The sequence below is a fragment of the Homo sapiens genome, chromosome 9 (genome assembly GCF_000001405.40).
Source record: "Homo sapiens chromosome 9, GRCh38.p14 Primary Assembly".
Lineage (NCBI taxonomy): Eukaryota > Metazoa > Chordata > Mammalia > Primates > Hominidae > Homo > Homo sapiens.
This window is the reverse complement of record NC_000009.12, coordinates 22,940,453-22,956,108: the sequence shown is the minus strand read 5'-3', so window position 1 is coordinate 22,956,108 and position 15,656 is coordinate 22,940,453. Positions and strand designations below refer to the sequence as shown.

The 15,656-nt window shown below is 36.3% G+C and overlaps 1 long non-coding RNA gene across 1 annotated transcript; it reads left to right on the top strand.

Moving 5' to 3' along the window:
* The first annotated feature begins 8,252 nt into the window (after positions 1-8,252).
* Positions 8,253-10,586, top strand: LOC124902131 (uncharacterized). The gene is made up of 2 exons (XR_007061437.1): positions 8,253-9,207; positions 10,472-10,586. It is a non-coding gene; the product is annotated as an uncharacterized LOC124902131 (long non-coding RNA).
* Positions 10,587-15,656: the final 5,070 nt, after the last annotated feature.

Below are 15,656 nucleotides of genomic sequence, written 5' to 3'. Positions count from 1 at the left end.
ACTTCTTTATAGCAATCTGAACTAAGACACTATAGATTTATAAAATTTTCATCTTTTCAAATATATTTTTGCTGTAGTTATTTGTATACTTTTTATTTTCATATAAATTTAGAATCATCTTGTCATATTTTATAAAATAATTATTTTTAAAAAATAAGGATTTCACTGACTATAGAGTTCAGCCTGTGGAGAACTGTTATCTTAAGCATGTTGGATCTTCTGACCAATGAACAAAAAAAAATTTCAATTTATTTAAGCTTTTAATTTTTTTCTCAGCAATGTTTTGCAGTTTTCAGTGTCCCAGTACTTTACATATTATATCAGATTTATTCCACAGTATTGTTTTTTTTTTTGAGATGGAGTCTTACTCTGTCACCCAAGCTGGAGTGAAGTGGTGCGATCTCAGCTCACTGCAATCTCCGCCTCCCTGGTTCAAGTGATTCTTCTGCCTCAGTCTCCCAAGTAGCTGGGATTACAGGCATGTGCTACCACTCCTGCCTAATTTTTGTATTTTTAGTAGAGACAGGGTTTCGCTATGTTGGTCAGGCTGGTCTCGATCTCCTGACCTCAGGTAATCTGCCCATTTCAGGTCACAAAGTGCTGGGATTACAGGTGTGAGCCACCATGCCTGGCATATCCCACAGTATTTAAATACTTATGTCAATTTAAGTGGTATTTTTCTATTTCAGTCCTATGTTGTGCATTGTTAATACAAACAAATACAATTGATTTGTGCATAGTGATCTTGCATCCGGCAAGTCTTGCTAAATTCATCTATTCTAGAAGCTTTTTTGTATATCCAATGGATTTTCTACATATATGATCATGTCATCTCTGGATCAAACAGTTTTACCTTTTCTTTTCTACTTTGGATGCCTTTTAGTTCTTTATCTTCTTTCTCTGTTTGCACTGGCTAGAACATCCAGTACAATGTTTAACAGCAGTGATGAGGGTAAATATCCTTGTCTTTTTACTATCTTCGGGGGAACACTATCAGTGTTCCACTAATAAGTACAGTGTTAGCTTTTTAAACGATTGATTTTTTTTCAGGTTGAGGAAATACCCTTCTGTTTCTAATTAGCTGAGGTGGTTTTGTTCGTTTTCGTTTTTAATTAGAAATGAATGTTTGATTTTTGGCAAATGCTTTTCTGTGTCTTTCAAAAAGATAATATTACGTATTTCTAATTTTTAGTGCGTTAATATGGTGAATTAGAGTGACTGATTTTTGAATGTTGAACCAGCTTTACATTCTTGGTATATTCCTCACTTTTGTGACAAGGTATTATCTTTTTATATATATCTGGAGTTGTTTTGCTGGTGTTTTCATCAGAACATTGTTATGTCCATGAGGGATATTATTACGTAATCTTCTTTTCTTATAATGTCTTTGCTGGTTTCAGTAATGTGTAATGTTGACCTTAAAGAAAAAACTGGTAGGTATTCCCATATTGTCAACTTGCTGAAGGAATTTTTATAGAATTTGTATAATTATTTTTCCCTGAATATTTAGTAGAATTTACCAGTGAAGGCATCTGGGACTGAAGTTTTCATGGTAGGAAGGATTTTACCAAAAATATATATTTAAATATGTGGGACTATTCTTCTTATTTATTTTTTTGTTTTAGTGAACTTTGGTGGTTTGGGTCTTTTGAGAAATTTGTCTGTTTCATCCAGATTTTTGTATGTATTCTAGTTAAGTTGCTCATAATATTCCATTATTGTTCTTTTAATATCCGTAGAACAGTTTTCCTCAAACGTTATTTCAGTCACTACCCTATGAGTCTTTTTTGACTTTTTTCTTAATTGCCCCCAATAAATTTTAATTTCAGAGACATATTGTATGTCTATTTATGTATATGTAATCTATGCTTTATATATAAAGAATTTTTTGCCTCCTTCCCCAAAAGAACCTTTTTAAAATATATATTACTATTTAATTTAATTAATTTATTTTTAGAGATGGGGACTTGCTCTGTCCCCCAGGCTGGTGTGCAGTGAATTATAGCTTACTGTAGCCTCCAACTCCTGGGCTCAAATGATCCTCCTGCCTTGGCCTCCTGGGTAGCTGGGACTACAGGTAGGTGCATGCCACCACATTCAGATAAGCTTTTTTATTTTTTTTATAGATGGAAACTCAGTTTGTTGCCTGGTTGGTTTCAAACTCCTGGCTTTAAGCTGTCCTTCTAGCGCAGTCTCCCAGAGTGCTGGGATTACATGTGTGCGCCACCATGGCCAGCCTCAAAATTTTTTATTTCTGCTTTATTGTTTTTTCTCTTCTTACTTGGAGTTTTATTTGTTCTTTTTCTGGTTTCTGAAGGTGGAAGATAAGATCACTAACTTGCTGTTATTCCTCTTTTCTTACACAGGCATTTTGCACTATGAATTTCCCTTTAAGAACTGGCATACCACAAATTCTGATATGTTGGCTTTTCTTTTACATTTAATTCAAAATACTTTGAATGTCTCTTTTGATTTCTTCTTTGACTCATTTGTTTTAGAAATCTCTCATTTAATTTCCAAATACTTGGGTATTGCCCACATGCCTTTTTATTATTGACTTCTAATTTTTCTAATTTAATCCCATTGTAGTCAGAAACATACTTTGAATGACTGAGACTTTTTTTATGACACGGAGCTTTGTGACAAGTGATTTTACATTGAGTATCTCACCTAATTATCAAGAAAATCCTATAAGGTGGGCACTATTATTGTCACCATGCTATACATGAGGAAATAAAAGCTGAAAGGTGTTAAGCACATATCTAAAATCACGGTTATGAAGTAGTGGAGTCTGAGTGCTTAACCATTATTCAGTATATGTGTGTGTATATGTATACATATATACTGAATATGTATATTGAATATATATACTGTATATGTGTATATTGTGTATATGTATATGGAATATGTATATTGTATATTGAATATGCATATTGTATATATGTATATATAGGATATATTATATATAATGTATATACAATAGGTATGTATAGTATATTGAATATATATATTGTATATTGAATATATATACTGAATATATATATTCAGTATATGTGTATATATACAGAATATGTATACTGAATATATATACTGAATAATGATTAAGCACTCAGACTCCACTACTAGTTTTGAAAAGACAAAATTAATTTTTAAGTATATGTGTGCGTATATATATTTTATATATATGTGTGTGTATATTTATATATATATATATATGATTCTTTTATTTATTTATTTATTTATTTATTGAGACAAGGTCTCACTCTTACCAAGACTAGAGTGCAGTAGCTCAATCATGGCTCACTGCAGTCTTGACCTTCCAGACTCAAGCAATCCAGCCTCCCTAGTGGCTGGGACTACAGATGCATACTATCACACCCAGCTAATTTTTAAATATTTGTAGAGGTAGGTGTCACTATGTTACTCAGGCTGGTCTCGAACTCCCGAGGTCAAGTCATCCTCCTGCCTCGACTTCCCAGAGTTCTGAGATTCCACATGTGAGCCTCTTACCCAGCTATCAGGTCCTTTTACCTGCAAATCATTGTAAGACATAAGTAAATAAAAGAGTTCAACCTCTTTATTGCTTGACTTAGAGGAGAGACATAAAACAAAGAAGAAATGCATGGATGGAGTAAGAATGAATTGCTTTTTGATAAGTGGACAGAGAAAGATAATTCCAGCTAGAAAGAATGGAGAACTTTTGTTTTTGTTGCAGCTGTGACATTTTAACTAAGTTTTAAAAGATACGCAGGATTCTAAGTATATTTCACAAAGAAATGTCAGTGAGTGAAGGGACATAGGAAGTACAGGGCAGGTTGATGTACTCTATGATTGGGAAGATGAGGACAAGACAATTTGAAAATAAGTTTTGATGAACATTTTTTCATGTGTCTTTTGGCTGCATAAATGTCTTCTATTGAGAAGTGTCTGTTCATATCCTTTGCCCACTTTTTGATGGGATTGTTTGTTTTTTTCTTGTAAATTTGTTTGAGTTCTTTGTAGATTCTGGATATTAGCCCTTTGTCAGATGGTAGATTCTGGATATTAGCCCTTTGTCAGATGAGTAGGTTGCGAAAATTTTCTCCCATTTTGTAGGTTGCCTGTTCACTCTGATGGTAGTTTCTTTTGCTGTGCAGAAGTTCTTTAGTTTAATTAGATCCCATTTGTCAATTTTGGCTTTTGTTGCCATTGCTTTTGGTGTTTCAGACATGAAGTCCTTGCCCATGCCTATGTCCTGAATGGTAATGCCTAGGTTTTCTTCTAGGGTTTTTATGGTTTTAGGTCTAACGTTTAAGTCTTTAATCCATCTTGAATTAATTTTTGTATAAGGTGTAAGGAAGGGATCCAGTTTCAGCTTTCTACATATGGCTAGCCAGTTTTCCCAGCACCATTTATTAAATAGGGAATCCTTTCCCCATTGCTTGTTTTTGTCAGGTTTGTCAAAGATCAGATAGTTGTAGATATGCAGCATTATTTCTGAGGGCTCTGTTCTGTTCCATTGATATATATCTCTGTTTTGGTACCAGTACCATGCTGTTTTGGTTACTGTAACCTTGTAGTATAGTTTGAAGTCAGGTAGCATGACGCCTCCAGCTTTGTTCTTTTGGCTTAGGATTGACTTGGTGATGCACGCTCATCATCACTGGCCATCAGAGAAATGCAAATCAAAACCACAATGAGATAGCATCTCACACCAGTTAGAATGGTGATCATTAAAAAGTCAGGAAACAACAGGTGCTGGAGAGGATGTGGAGAAATAGGAACACTTTTACACTGTTGGTGGGACCGTAAACTAGTTCAACCATTGTGGAAGTCAGTGTGGCGATTCCTCAGGGATCTAGAACTAGAAATACCATTTGACCCAGCCATCCCATTACTGGGTATATACCCAAAGGACTATAAATCATGCTGCTGTAAAGACGCATGCACACGTATGTTTATTGCGGCACTATTCACAATAGCAAAGACTTGGAACCAACCCAAATGTCCAACAATGATAGACTGGATTAAGAATATGTGGCACATATACACCATGGAATACTATGCAGCTATAAAAAATGATGAGTTCATGTCCTTTGTAGGGACATGGATGAAATTGGAAGTCATCATTCTCAGTAAACTATCGCAAGTACAAAAAACGAAACACCGCATGTTCTCACTCATAGATGGGAATTGAACAATGAGAACACATGGACACAGGAAGGGGACCATCACACTCTGGGGACTGTTGTGGGGTTGGGGGAGGGGGAAGGATAGCATTGGGAGATATACCTAATGCTAAATGACAAGTTAATGGGTGCAGCGCACCAGCATGGCACATGTATACATATGTAACTAACCGGCACATAGTGCACATGTACCCTAAAACTTAAAGTATAATAATAATAAAAAAAATTAAAAAAAAAGAAAATAAGTTTTGAAAGGTAGGTTTCCATCTGCATTATATGATCTATTTTGTTTGGGTCCAGAAGATTGAATTAGAAGAAAGAAGTCAAGCCTATAAGAAGACAAACAGTAGATACATAGAAGAAAGAAGCTTTTTAAAATACAATTTTATTTGGGTGGGGTTGATATATAAAACCTGCATATACCTACTGCATACAATTTGATGGGTTTGAACGTATGCATACACTGTGAAACCATCACCACAATCAAGGTAATAAAAATATCTATCACCTCCAAAAGCTTCCTCCTGCACTTCCACCTTTTAAAACTTTATGGTAAGAAGATTTAACTTGAGATCTGCCCTTTCAACAAATTTTGAGTGTACAATACAGTATTTTTAACTACAGGGACTGTGTCTTAAAGCGGACATCTAGAACCTATTCATGTTGTATAACTAGGACATTATACCTATTAAACAACTCATTTCCCCTTCCCCAAGCCCCTTGTTATCACCATTTTACTCTTTGCTTTGTGAGCTTGACAATTTTAGATACCTCATATAAATGAGATCATGCAGTCTTTGTCCTTCTGAGACTGGCTTATTTCCCTTAGCATAGTGTCAGTGAAATCCTGCCATCTCCAACAACGTGGAAGAAAGAAACAAAGATATTTGTTAATAAAAACAACTGCTTGTAAGGGTAAGGTGGTGAGTTCTGGTTATAGGAATTATTAAGTTCCTAAGTGTATTGTGTTTATTATCTTACATTAAAAGGAATCTTAAAATATGCATGTTTTAGCCAATATTCAGATGCTGTAAGTCTTAATGTAGTTTCTGTTATTAGCAGATAATTTTCTTGATCAATGAAACTTTGGAAAATTTTCAGTCATAAGCAACTTAGTTTTCCAAGAATAATAATAATGTGAATTAGCACGTTTTATTAGCTTTAAATTTAATTTTTCAGTTTCTCTCAGATCTTAAATTTACTGATTCTTATCTTACTCTTCAATTTGCATTCCCTCTGTAGTTTTCCCAGGTTAACTGTGTTACTGATTGCTTTAGTGATTCTTACCATTCATGGAATAGTTTTGAAAATTAATTGTTAAGAAACTAACTGCAGAAATGTCTTGTTACATGGCATTTATATTAAAGAATAAAATACTACTTTGTATAAGGTATAAAAAGTATTATTATTATTATTATTTTATTTTTTTTGAGACAGTCTCACTTTGTCACCCAGGCTGGAGTACAGTGGCACGATCTTGGCTCACTGCAACCTCTGCCTTTTGGGTTCAAGTGATTCTTATGCCTCAGCCTCCCGAGTAGCTGGGGCAACATGTGCGCACCACCACACCCGGGTAATTATTGTATTTTTAGTAGAGATCGGATTTCACCATATTGGCCAGGCTGGTCTCAAACTCCTGACCTGGTGATCTGCCTGCCTCAATCTCCCAAAGTGCTGGGATTACGGACAGAAAGTATTATTTTTACATAAGGAAGAGTAGTACTCTCCTCCGAGAACTCTTTGTACCTCCTGTCATTTTATATTCATCAGATTATAACAGTGCAATGCCCATCAGTTCTTTTGTATTCATCAGATTATAACAGTGCAATGCCCATCAATTCTTTTATATTCATCAGATTATAACAGTGCAATGCCCATCAAGGATCACAGAAAATAATAATAATAATACAATTTTAAACAAGCATAACCATTGCCTTCATATTATCCTTTAATACAGAATACTTTTTCACTTCTCTTAATTGTCACACAAACACTCTTAAGTAGTGTGATAAAAGCATTCTTTCAAATTATATACATAAGGACTCAATGAGTGACTCTAAATGCTTTTAAAACCTTTTATAGTAAGCTTAGAACACACATGAGTATAAATACACAAAAGCTTGGTATCTACAATCTTAAATGCCTAGATTTTCATACAGACTCTCTTTGTAATTAAGGATTGGTCCTTGTGCCTAGCTCAAAATATATTTATAGCTATTTCAGCAAAAGATAAATACTAAATATTTCTGCTCTGAAAAGTTTCTCAACTATTTCTACAAAGGAGGAATATAAAGTAAACCTTTTTCTGTTGTCTAGCATCCAAGTAATACCTGCTTTTATCACTTCCTTCTTAGTTAGAAATTGAAGGAGAAATTGTATCACGTTTGGATTAAATAATGAAAAAGCGATCAAAGTTCATTTTGATAGACAATGTTCCAGTTTTACCAAAAAAAAAACAAATCTGATCCAAACAAAGTAATCATTAGAGTTTTAGGGTTCCGGGACTAAAGTTCTGTATGTTCATCACTATCAGAGCACAAGCTTCTGAATTTCTTTTCTCAGTCGCATGTCAAATATGGAGGCCATACCCATGGAAAACTACACAGTTTTAAAAATGTGAAGTATGCTATAACAAAAGAGCTGAAAATCAATAGCTACTGAAATGAGTATTCTTTCTCTTAAATGTAAAAATATTTGCTTAAGTGAAAATACATTGATGTTATCCATTAAGAAGAAATAAAACCTTTGCGTATTAAGAACATGGTGGTGGTAAAAGAGGCACAGTAAATAGTACCAAAATAAAATTTTACTTCTTGGGGAACTTTGGGAAAGTTTCTTAGTCTCTGTGCCCAAATTTCCTCACTTGCAAAATATGAAGATTAAATGAGTTCATACTAATAATTAATAAGATTAGTCCCTGGCACATAGTGAGTATTAAGTAAGTCAATTTAAAAATTACTTGTTTTTTAAATTTATTTTTCTTAAAAATTTTTTTAATAGGGATGAGGTCTCATTATGTTTCCCAGGCTGTTCTTGAACTCCTCAGTTCAAGCAATCCTCCTGCCTTAGCCTCCTAAAGAACTGGGATCACAAGCATGAGCCACTGCTCCTGGCCCTAAGAAATATTACTTTTTAAAGCTTAGCAGTTTCACGATTTGTACTTAGTCTGAAAACCAAGGATTAATGATTTATTTCAAAGAACTTTCAAAACCAAAAGCTAATAGGGAAATAAGGTTTATCTGTATCCCTATCTCTTAAAGATGGTTTTGATGAAGATGTCCCCAAACATATAAAAAGTACTATTACAGTCATAGGCCAATTATATTAGCTAGAATAGCTGTTTGCTATGAGATCAAACAATCCTTAAGTCTTGGAACTGAGAATCAGAAAGGCTGATTTCTGAGTTACATTTCATCTCTATCTCTCATCAGTTATTGGGGGAATCCATTCACCAAAGTCACTCAAGGACTTAGTCTAATGAAACAGCCATCATCTTGAACATTGCTGATTGTGCTAGAAGTAAAGAAAACTCTGGAAGGCTTTACCCTGTCACATCATTTTACTCAACTCGTTGGCTAAAATCAGGAGATCAAGGAGTTCAGTCATCCACATTCCCCAAGTAGCTAAGAATCAAATATCTATGAACAACATTAATAAATGCAAACCGCGGATTTATTAATACATATTACAGATGATTGGTGTGTGGGCCATAGAAATAGGGATGCAAATAGATGAAAGAAGCAGCCAATATGATGGAGTGGATCAATGGCTTTAGTTCTGGATTTGTACAGCATTCCCTTCCCCATCCCGTCCTCCTCTCCAGTACCTCTATACACTCACACAACTTCATGCAAGGCAAGCATGTTCATCCAATTATCTATGTTTTTTAGAGAGACAGACAAAAAGAAAAACACCAGTTCTAATCTGGCATTTATTTCTGTCCCTGGATCAGCTGAAGTTTATACGTCTGTGGCCTGGAAAAATTGTGACAGCAGTTTACATTATGGCATTGTTAATTACTCCTTAAATTATCTTCCAGGTAAAATCTATGGAAAGTTCATTTGTCTAAAGGGCCCAGTTGTGATTACTAGAGGGTCAAATTTCTTTTGCATATACAAATCTAACATAGAGTGGGGGAAAGGAAGTAGCTTTAATGAACTGAGATAAAAATAAAATAAAATAAAAGGACAGTGGATGCTTCAATTTATATTTCAGTCTCATCTCCCATAACCTATCCTAGCCTGAGGTCTCAGACCTCCTCATGACCACTAACCAGGCCCATCAGTATGCATGTGGCCCTCGGCTGAGGCTGTGCCTGCTTCAGACAACTCATTTCACTTTGTTTCACTTGTGTAAAAACTTTGGGGAAAAGAGAAGGAATTTCTTGCCTTGCTAGGATCCCTGAATCCATATAGGGCCAGGGTCCAATTACTAACATACTTCGGGGACATGTAACAATGGATTGGTCACTATCTCATAAGCACACATGTGCAGCTCTATCTCAAACATTATCCTTTGTGGCAAAGACAATTTTTACCAAGCATCTTTCATGAAAACAACTGTTGGAGGCAGAATTGGTCCTATTTAATTAACTTCTTACTTGCAAGCCTCAGGCAGAGGAGAAAATAATGAAAAATCATCACTAAACAGTTGGTGACTACCTACTAATTTTTTGCAGTATTTCTAAATGTTTTGTTTTTGTATGTAAAAGCGTTTTTCCTTTAGCGTTTTAGTTATCAGAGAAATTCAATTCTATTAAAATAAAGAAAAATAGTAGAAAAGTGTTATTTTGTTTATGTTTTCATTGAATTGCTTATTTATTTATGTTCATTTTTAGGCTTTTCAATAATCGAATTCTGTTTGATTCAGTTGCACTTGTTTCCTGTATTTTAAAAACTCTATATTCTGCTCTACCCCACTCAGTTTTCATGCGTTTATCCTTCTTCTCCAAATAGCCATATTGTATCATTAATACAAGGGAGCAGAATGAAGAAGGTTGATGTTTCTAGCTCTCCTTATATCAAAATGCAACTTGTATTCAATTCATTTATATTTGTTCATTTTTCATATATATTGAATGAAATTTAAACAGAAAACTACTGTTTAATGAGCTGAAAACAGCAATTTTATAAATGTTTACATTGGAATAATGCATAGTGCCAAGATTCCATGACAATATTGTTATATCAATATATATAATTATTAGTGTTTTTGTTTGTTAATTACACTGCTACATTGATCATTGCAAAATGGTCCTGACAAACTTTTCTTTTTTATATGCCCTTTCTCTCTGTTTTGTACAGAAATTGTGATGAATAAGCGATGTAGATCAACACTTCAAAGATATGCTAACCGTTGGTACTATTTATTATTTTGAATTTGTAGTTTTAATAAAATAAAAACATTCTACAATAAGAATTTCACAGAAAACGCAAATAATTGATACATTTTGTTTATAAATTATTCTTTTTGTTGGTACCTACAGTTGGTATAAAAAAAAAACTTCGAAAGAGAAAAAAAAAAAAACTACACCTCCACTTTTTGTCAGTCAGAAGACTTTCATCTTTTGAAATATCAAAATAATCCAACCTTTCAAACAGAGTTGTCATAAATGTCCTGTTTATGAGGACAAGCTTCTGTAGTTTTCCACAGAAGGGAGCTAAGTAACTATTTTCTTGTGTGTGCAATATTTGGAGCAAGAAGCAGGTCATTTAAGATAAGTGTTCACAATGTTCCCCATGATAGCAGCAGTATGAATTAAGTGAAGAAAAGTGGGAATATAATGAAAATGACCACAGAGAAACTTATCAAAAGATTCAGTTAAGTTAATATTGTTAGTTTCAGAATGTGAATTCGACTTTGAGAATTAAGGTGCCAGGAGGAAGTGGAAATAGTTTTGGGGAAAATTCTGCATATGAAGGTAACACTATGAACTGTAGATGTAGAACACTATTGTAACCGTGATACTAGAGTATGTTTTTATTATAACCTTTGAAATTGATTGGGCTGTTTCATGCACCTATGACTTTTTATAAACTATCCCTCTAGCGATATTCTTTTATCTGATTTATTCACATAGAGAACTTGTATTCAACCTTCAAATTAAGTTCAAATATTAATCCCTCTTTTGGACTTTACTGGTCCCAGGTTAGAATTGACTTTTGAATTGATTTCTTCCTACTTTATACTATCACTGAAACACAATTACTTGTTTACATGTCTGGCTCATCAAACTGAGAGTCTACTTGAAAGCAAGGACTATTTCCACTTTCTTTGTGTATGTTTCTGGCCCTGGTAGATATTAGGTAAAATGTAAATATGTGCTAAATGAATGATTCACATGATTGCAGTCATTATAATTCATGAAAACTTACTTTTGGTAGGAAATAGCAATCAGGATTAATTGTGTTCTTTAATTGATTGTGAGTTTAACATGCTAAAAGCAATATTGTGCATATTGTGTTGGCAAGAAGATACACGTACAGGTCATCTAAAACACTTTGACAGGACAATGGAACAAGAGGACTGGTAGTGCAGAAAAGATTACACAATTTTAATGAACGATGATAATGAGAGAAAAACAACACAAATCTCCAATTGTAGATGTCTGGTGCTACATGGGAGAAAATGAGGAGAGTAAGTTATGGAAACAGCACGCTTTTGTTAAAATTTTGCATAACAAAGAGAAAGCCTGTTATTTTTGAAAGACCAAAGAGAAATATTATTTGGATCTCTCCTCAGTCCTTTTCCTGCTCTAAATCTGAAGTTACTGACAAAATTGGGCATTCTGTTTTAGTAACTTTCTTAGTAGGCTTTTTACCGCTATGCTACATTGCTGCACTACTCTACACTGCTCTCTGCTGACTCTCCTACTATCAGTACTCCTCTGTATTTGACTCTCTCAGTGGTCTATGAGTTGCTTGAAGTCAGAACTCTGGTTTTATTTTTCTTTCTCTTTACTTGCCAGAGAATCATAATTTATTTGAACAAATACAGTTTTAATAATTTTTAGATAAATATTATTTTTATATTAAAGGGGGCTCGACCATGTATGAATATATATATAGTACTATAATGCTAACAAATACTATTGGCTTCATATGAAGAGTAACCAGTGATAATGCAATAATTTGAGAAAAACAGAAGAGCCAGCTAGATCACACAGGAAGATTCTAGAAATATTCATAGATTTTTTTGGTAATTTTATTTCTACAAATTTATCTTCAGGGTGTAAATGGAAAAAACAAACTGTAAAATATTTAAAGAGACTTATTCTGAGCCAATATGGGTGACCATGGCCTGGATAACAGTCTCAAGAAGTCCTGAGAAAGTGTGCCCAAGGTGGTCAGGATACAGTTTGGTTCTATACATTTTAGAGAGACAGGAATTATAAGTAAAATAATCAATATATGGAAGGTGTATATTGGTTCAGTCTAAAGAGGTGAGGTCTCTTGAAGAGGTGTGGGGGTTACAGGTCATAAGTAGGTTCAAAGATTTTCTGACTGGCAATTGGTTGAAAGAGTTAAGCTTTGTGTAAAGACTTGAAGTCAGTAGAAAGAAATAGTTGAAGAAAAGTTAAGGGAGGAACAGCTAAGATGGCTGAATAGAAATAGCTTTGCTCTGTGGCTCCCACTGAGAAGGATGAAAACAGCAAAAGAATTCTGCATCTTCAATTGAGGTACCAAGGTTTTCTCATTGGGACAGACTAGGTGGTTGACATGACCCACAGAGAGCACGGAAAAGCAGGGCGGAGTGAGGGCCCGCCTGGGAGCTGTGCAGCGCAAAGGGAGCTCCCTCCCCCAGTCAGTACCAGTAGAGTGGAGCATTGCTGAAAAGATACCTGAAAATGTGTAAGCAACTTTGAAACTGGGTAGCAGGCAGAGCTTGGAACAGTTTGAAGGGCTCAAAAGGAGATAGGGAAAATGTGTGAAAGTTTGGAACTTCCTAAAGACTTGTTGAATGGCTTTGCCAAAATGCTGGTAATGATATGAACAATAAAATTCAGGCTGAGGTGGTCTCAGATGGAGACGAGAAACTTGGGAACTGGAGCAAAGGTGGCTCTTGTTATGTTTTAGTAAAGAAACTGGTGGCATTTTGTCCCTGCCCTAGAGATTTGTGGAACTTTGAACTTAAGAGAGATGATTTAGGGTGTCTGGAAGAAGAAACATCAAAGCAGCGAAGCATTCAAGAGGTGACTTGGGTTCTGTTAAAGGTGTTCAGTTTTACAAGGGAAGCAGAGCATAAAAGTTTGGAAAATTTCAGCCTATGTGATAGAAAAGAAAACCCCATTTTCTGGGGAGAGATTCAAGCCAACTGCAGAAATTTGCATAAGTAGCAAGAAGCCTAATGTTAATCCCCAAGACCATGGGGAAAATGTCTCCAGGCCATGTCAGAGACCTTCACAGCAGCCCCTGCCTTCACAGGCCTAGAGGCCCAGGAGAAAAAAGTGGTTTAGTGTGCTAGGCCCAGGGTCCCTGTGCTGTGTGCAGCCTAGGAACTTAGTGCCCTGTGTCCTAGCTGCTCCAGTCATGGCTGAAAGGGGTCAACGTACAGCTCAGGCTGTGGCTTCAGAGGGTGGAAGCCCCAAGCCTTGGCAGCTTCCACGTGGTGTTGAGCCTCTGGGTGCACAGAAGTCAAGTATTGAGGTTTGGGAACCTCCACATAGATTTCAGACGATGTTTGGAAATGCCTGGATGCCCAGGCAGAAGTTTGCTGCAGGGGCGGGATCCTCATGGAGAACTTTTGCTAGGGCAGTGTGGAAGGGAAATGTGGGGTTGGAGCCCCCACACAGTGTCCCTACTGGGGCACTGCATAGTGGAGGTGTCAGAAGAGGGCCACTGTCCTCCAGACCCCAGAATGGTAGATTAACCAACAGCTTACATCCATCGTGCACCTGGAAAAGCTGCAGACACTTAACACCAGCCCATGAAAGCAGCTGGGAGGGAGACTGCACCATGCAATGCCATAGGGGCAGAGCTGCCCAAGTGCCTAGGAATCTACCTCTTGCATCGGCATGACCTGGATGTGAGACCTGGAGTCAAAGGAGATCATTTTGGGGCTTTAAAATTTGACTGCCCTGCTGGATTTTGGACTTGCATGGGCCCTGTAACCCCTTTGTTTTGGCCAATTTCTTCCATTTGGAGAATGGCTGTATTTTCCAAATACCTATACCCCCACTGTACCTAGGAAGTAACTAGCTTGCTTTTGATTTTGCAGGCTCATAGGCAGAAGGGACTTGCCTTTTCTCAGATGAGACTTTGGACTGTGGACTTTTGGGTTAATGCTGAAATGAGTTAAGACTTTGAGGGACCCTTGGAAAGGTGTGATTGGTTTTGAAATGTGAGGACATGAGATTTGGAGGGTCCAGGGGCAGAATGGTATGGGTTGGCTGTGTCCCCACCCAAATATCAACTTGAATTATATCTCCCAGAATTCCCACATTTTGTGGGATGGACCCATTGGGAGGTAATGGAATCATGGGGGCTGGCTTTTCCCTTGCTCTTCTCATGACAGTGAATAAGTCTCATGAGATCTGATGGGTTTATCAGGGGTTTCTGCTTTTGCTTCTTCCTCATTTTTCTCTTGCTGTTACCATGTAAGAAGTAACTTTCGCCTCCGGCCATGATTCTGAGGCCTCCCCATCCATGTGGAACTGTAAGTCCAATTAATTCCCTTTTTCTTCCCAGTTTCAGGTGTGTCTTTATCAGCAGTGTGAAAACAGACTAATACAACATGGAATCAACCCAAATCCCCATCAGTGATAGACTAGATAAAGAAAATGTGGTACATATACACCATGAAATACTATGCATCCATAAGAAGGAATAAGATCATGTCCTTTGTAGGGACATGGAAGGAACTGGAAGCCATTATCCTCAGCAAAATAATGCAGGAAAAGAAAACCAAACACAGTATGTTCTCACTTACAAGTGGGAGCTAAACAATGAGATCACATGGACATAAGGAAGGGAGCAACACACATTGGGGCCTGTCAGGGGGTTGAGTTTGAGGAGGGATAGCACTAGGAAAAATACCTCATGCATACTGAGCTTAATACCTAGGTGATGAGTTGATAGGTGCAGCAAATCACCGTGGCACACATTTACCTATGTAACAAACCTGCACATCCTGCACATATACCCTGGAGCTTAAAAATTAAAAAAAAAAGAAAGAAATGCTTGAGTTAAGATAAGGGGGGTTGTAGAGACCAAGGTTCTTGTTATATAGATGAAGTTCCCATGTCGCTGCCTTCAGAGAAAATAGATGGTAAATTTCTTTTTCAGACCTTAAAGGTGTGACTTTCATTAATCCCTCCTGGATCCAGGGAAGACCTGAAAAGGGAATCCCTGGCTGTATTAATGGAGATTCACTACAGATGCAAATTTTCCCCACAAGAGGTGGCTTTGCAGGGCCATTTCAAAATATGCCAGGAATTCAGTTTTTCTGATTTCTCTGGGGTGCCTTTGGTCAAAGCAGGGTCCATTCAGT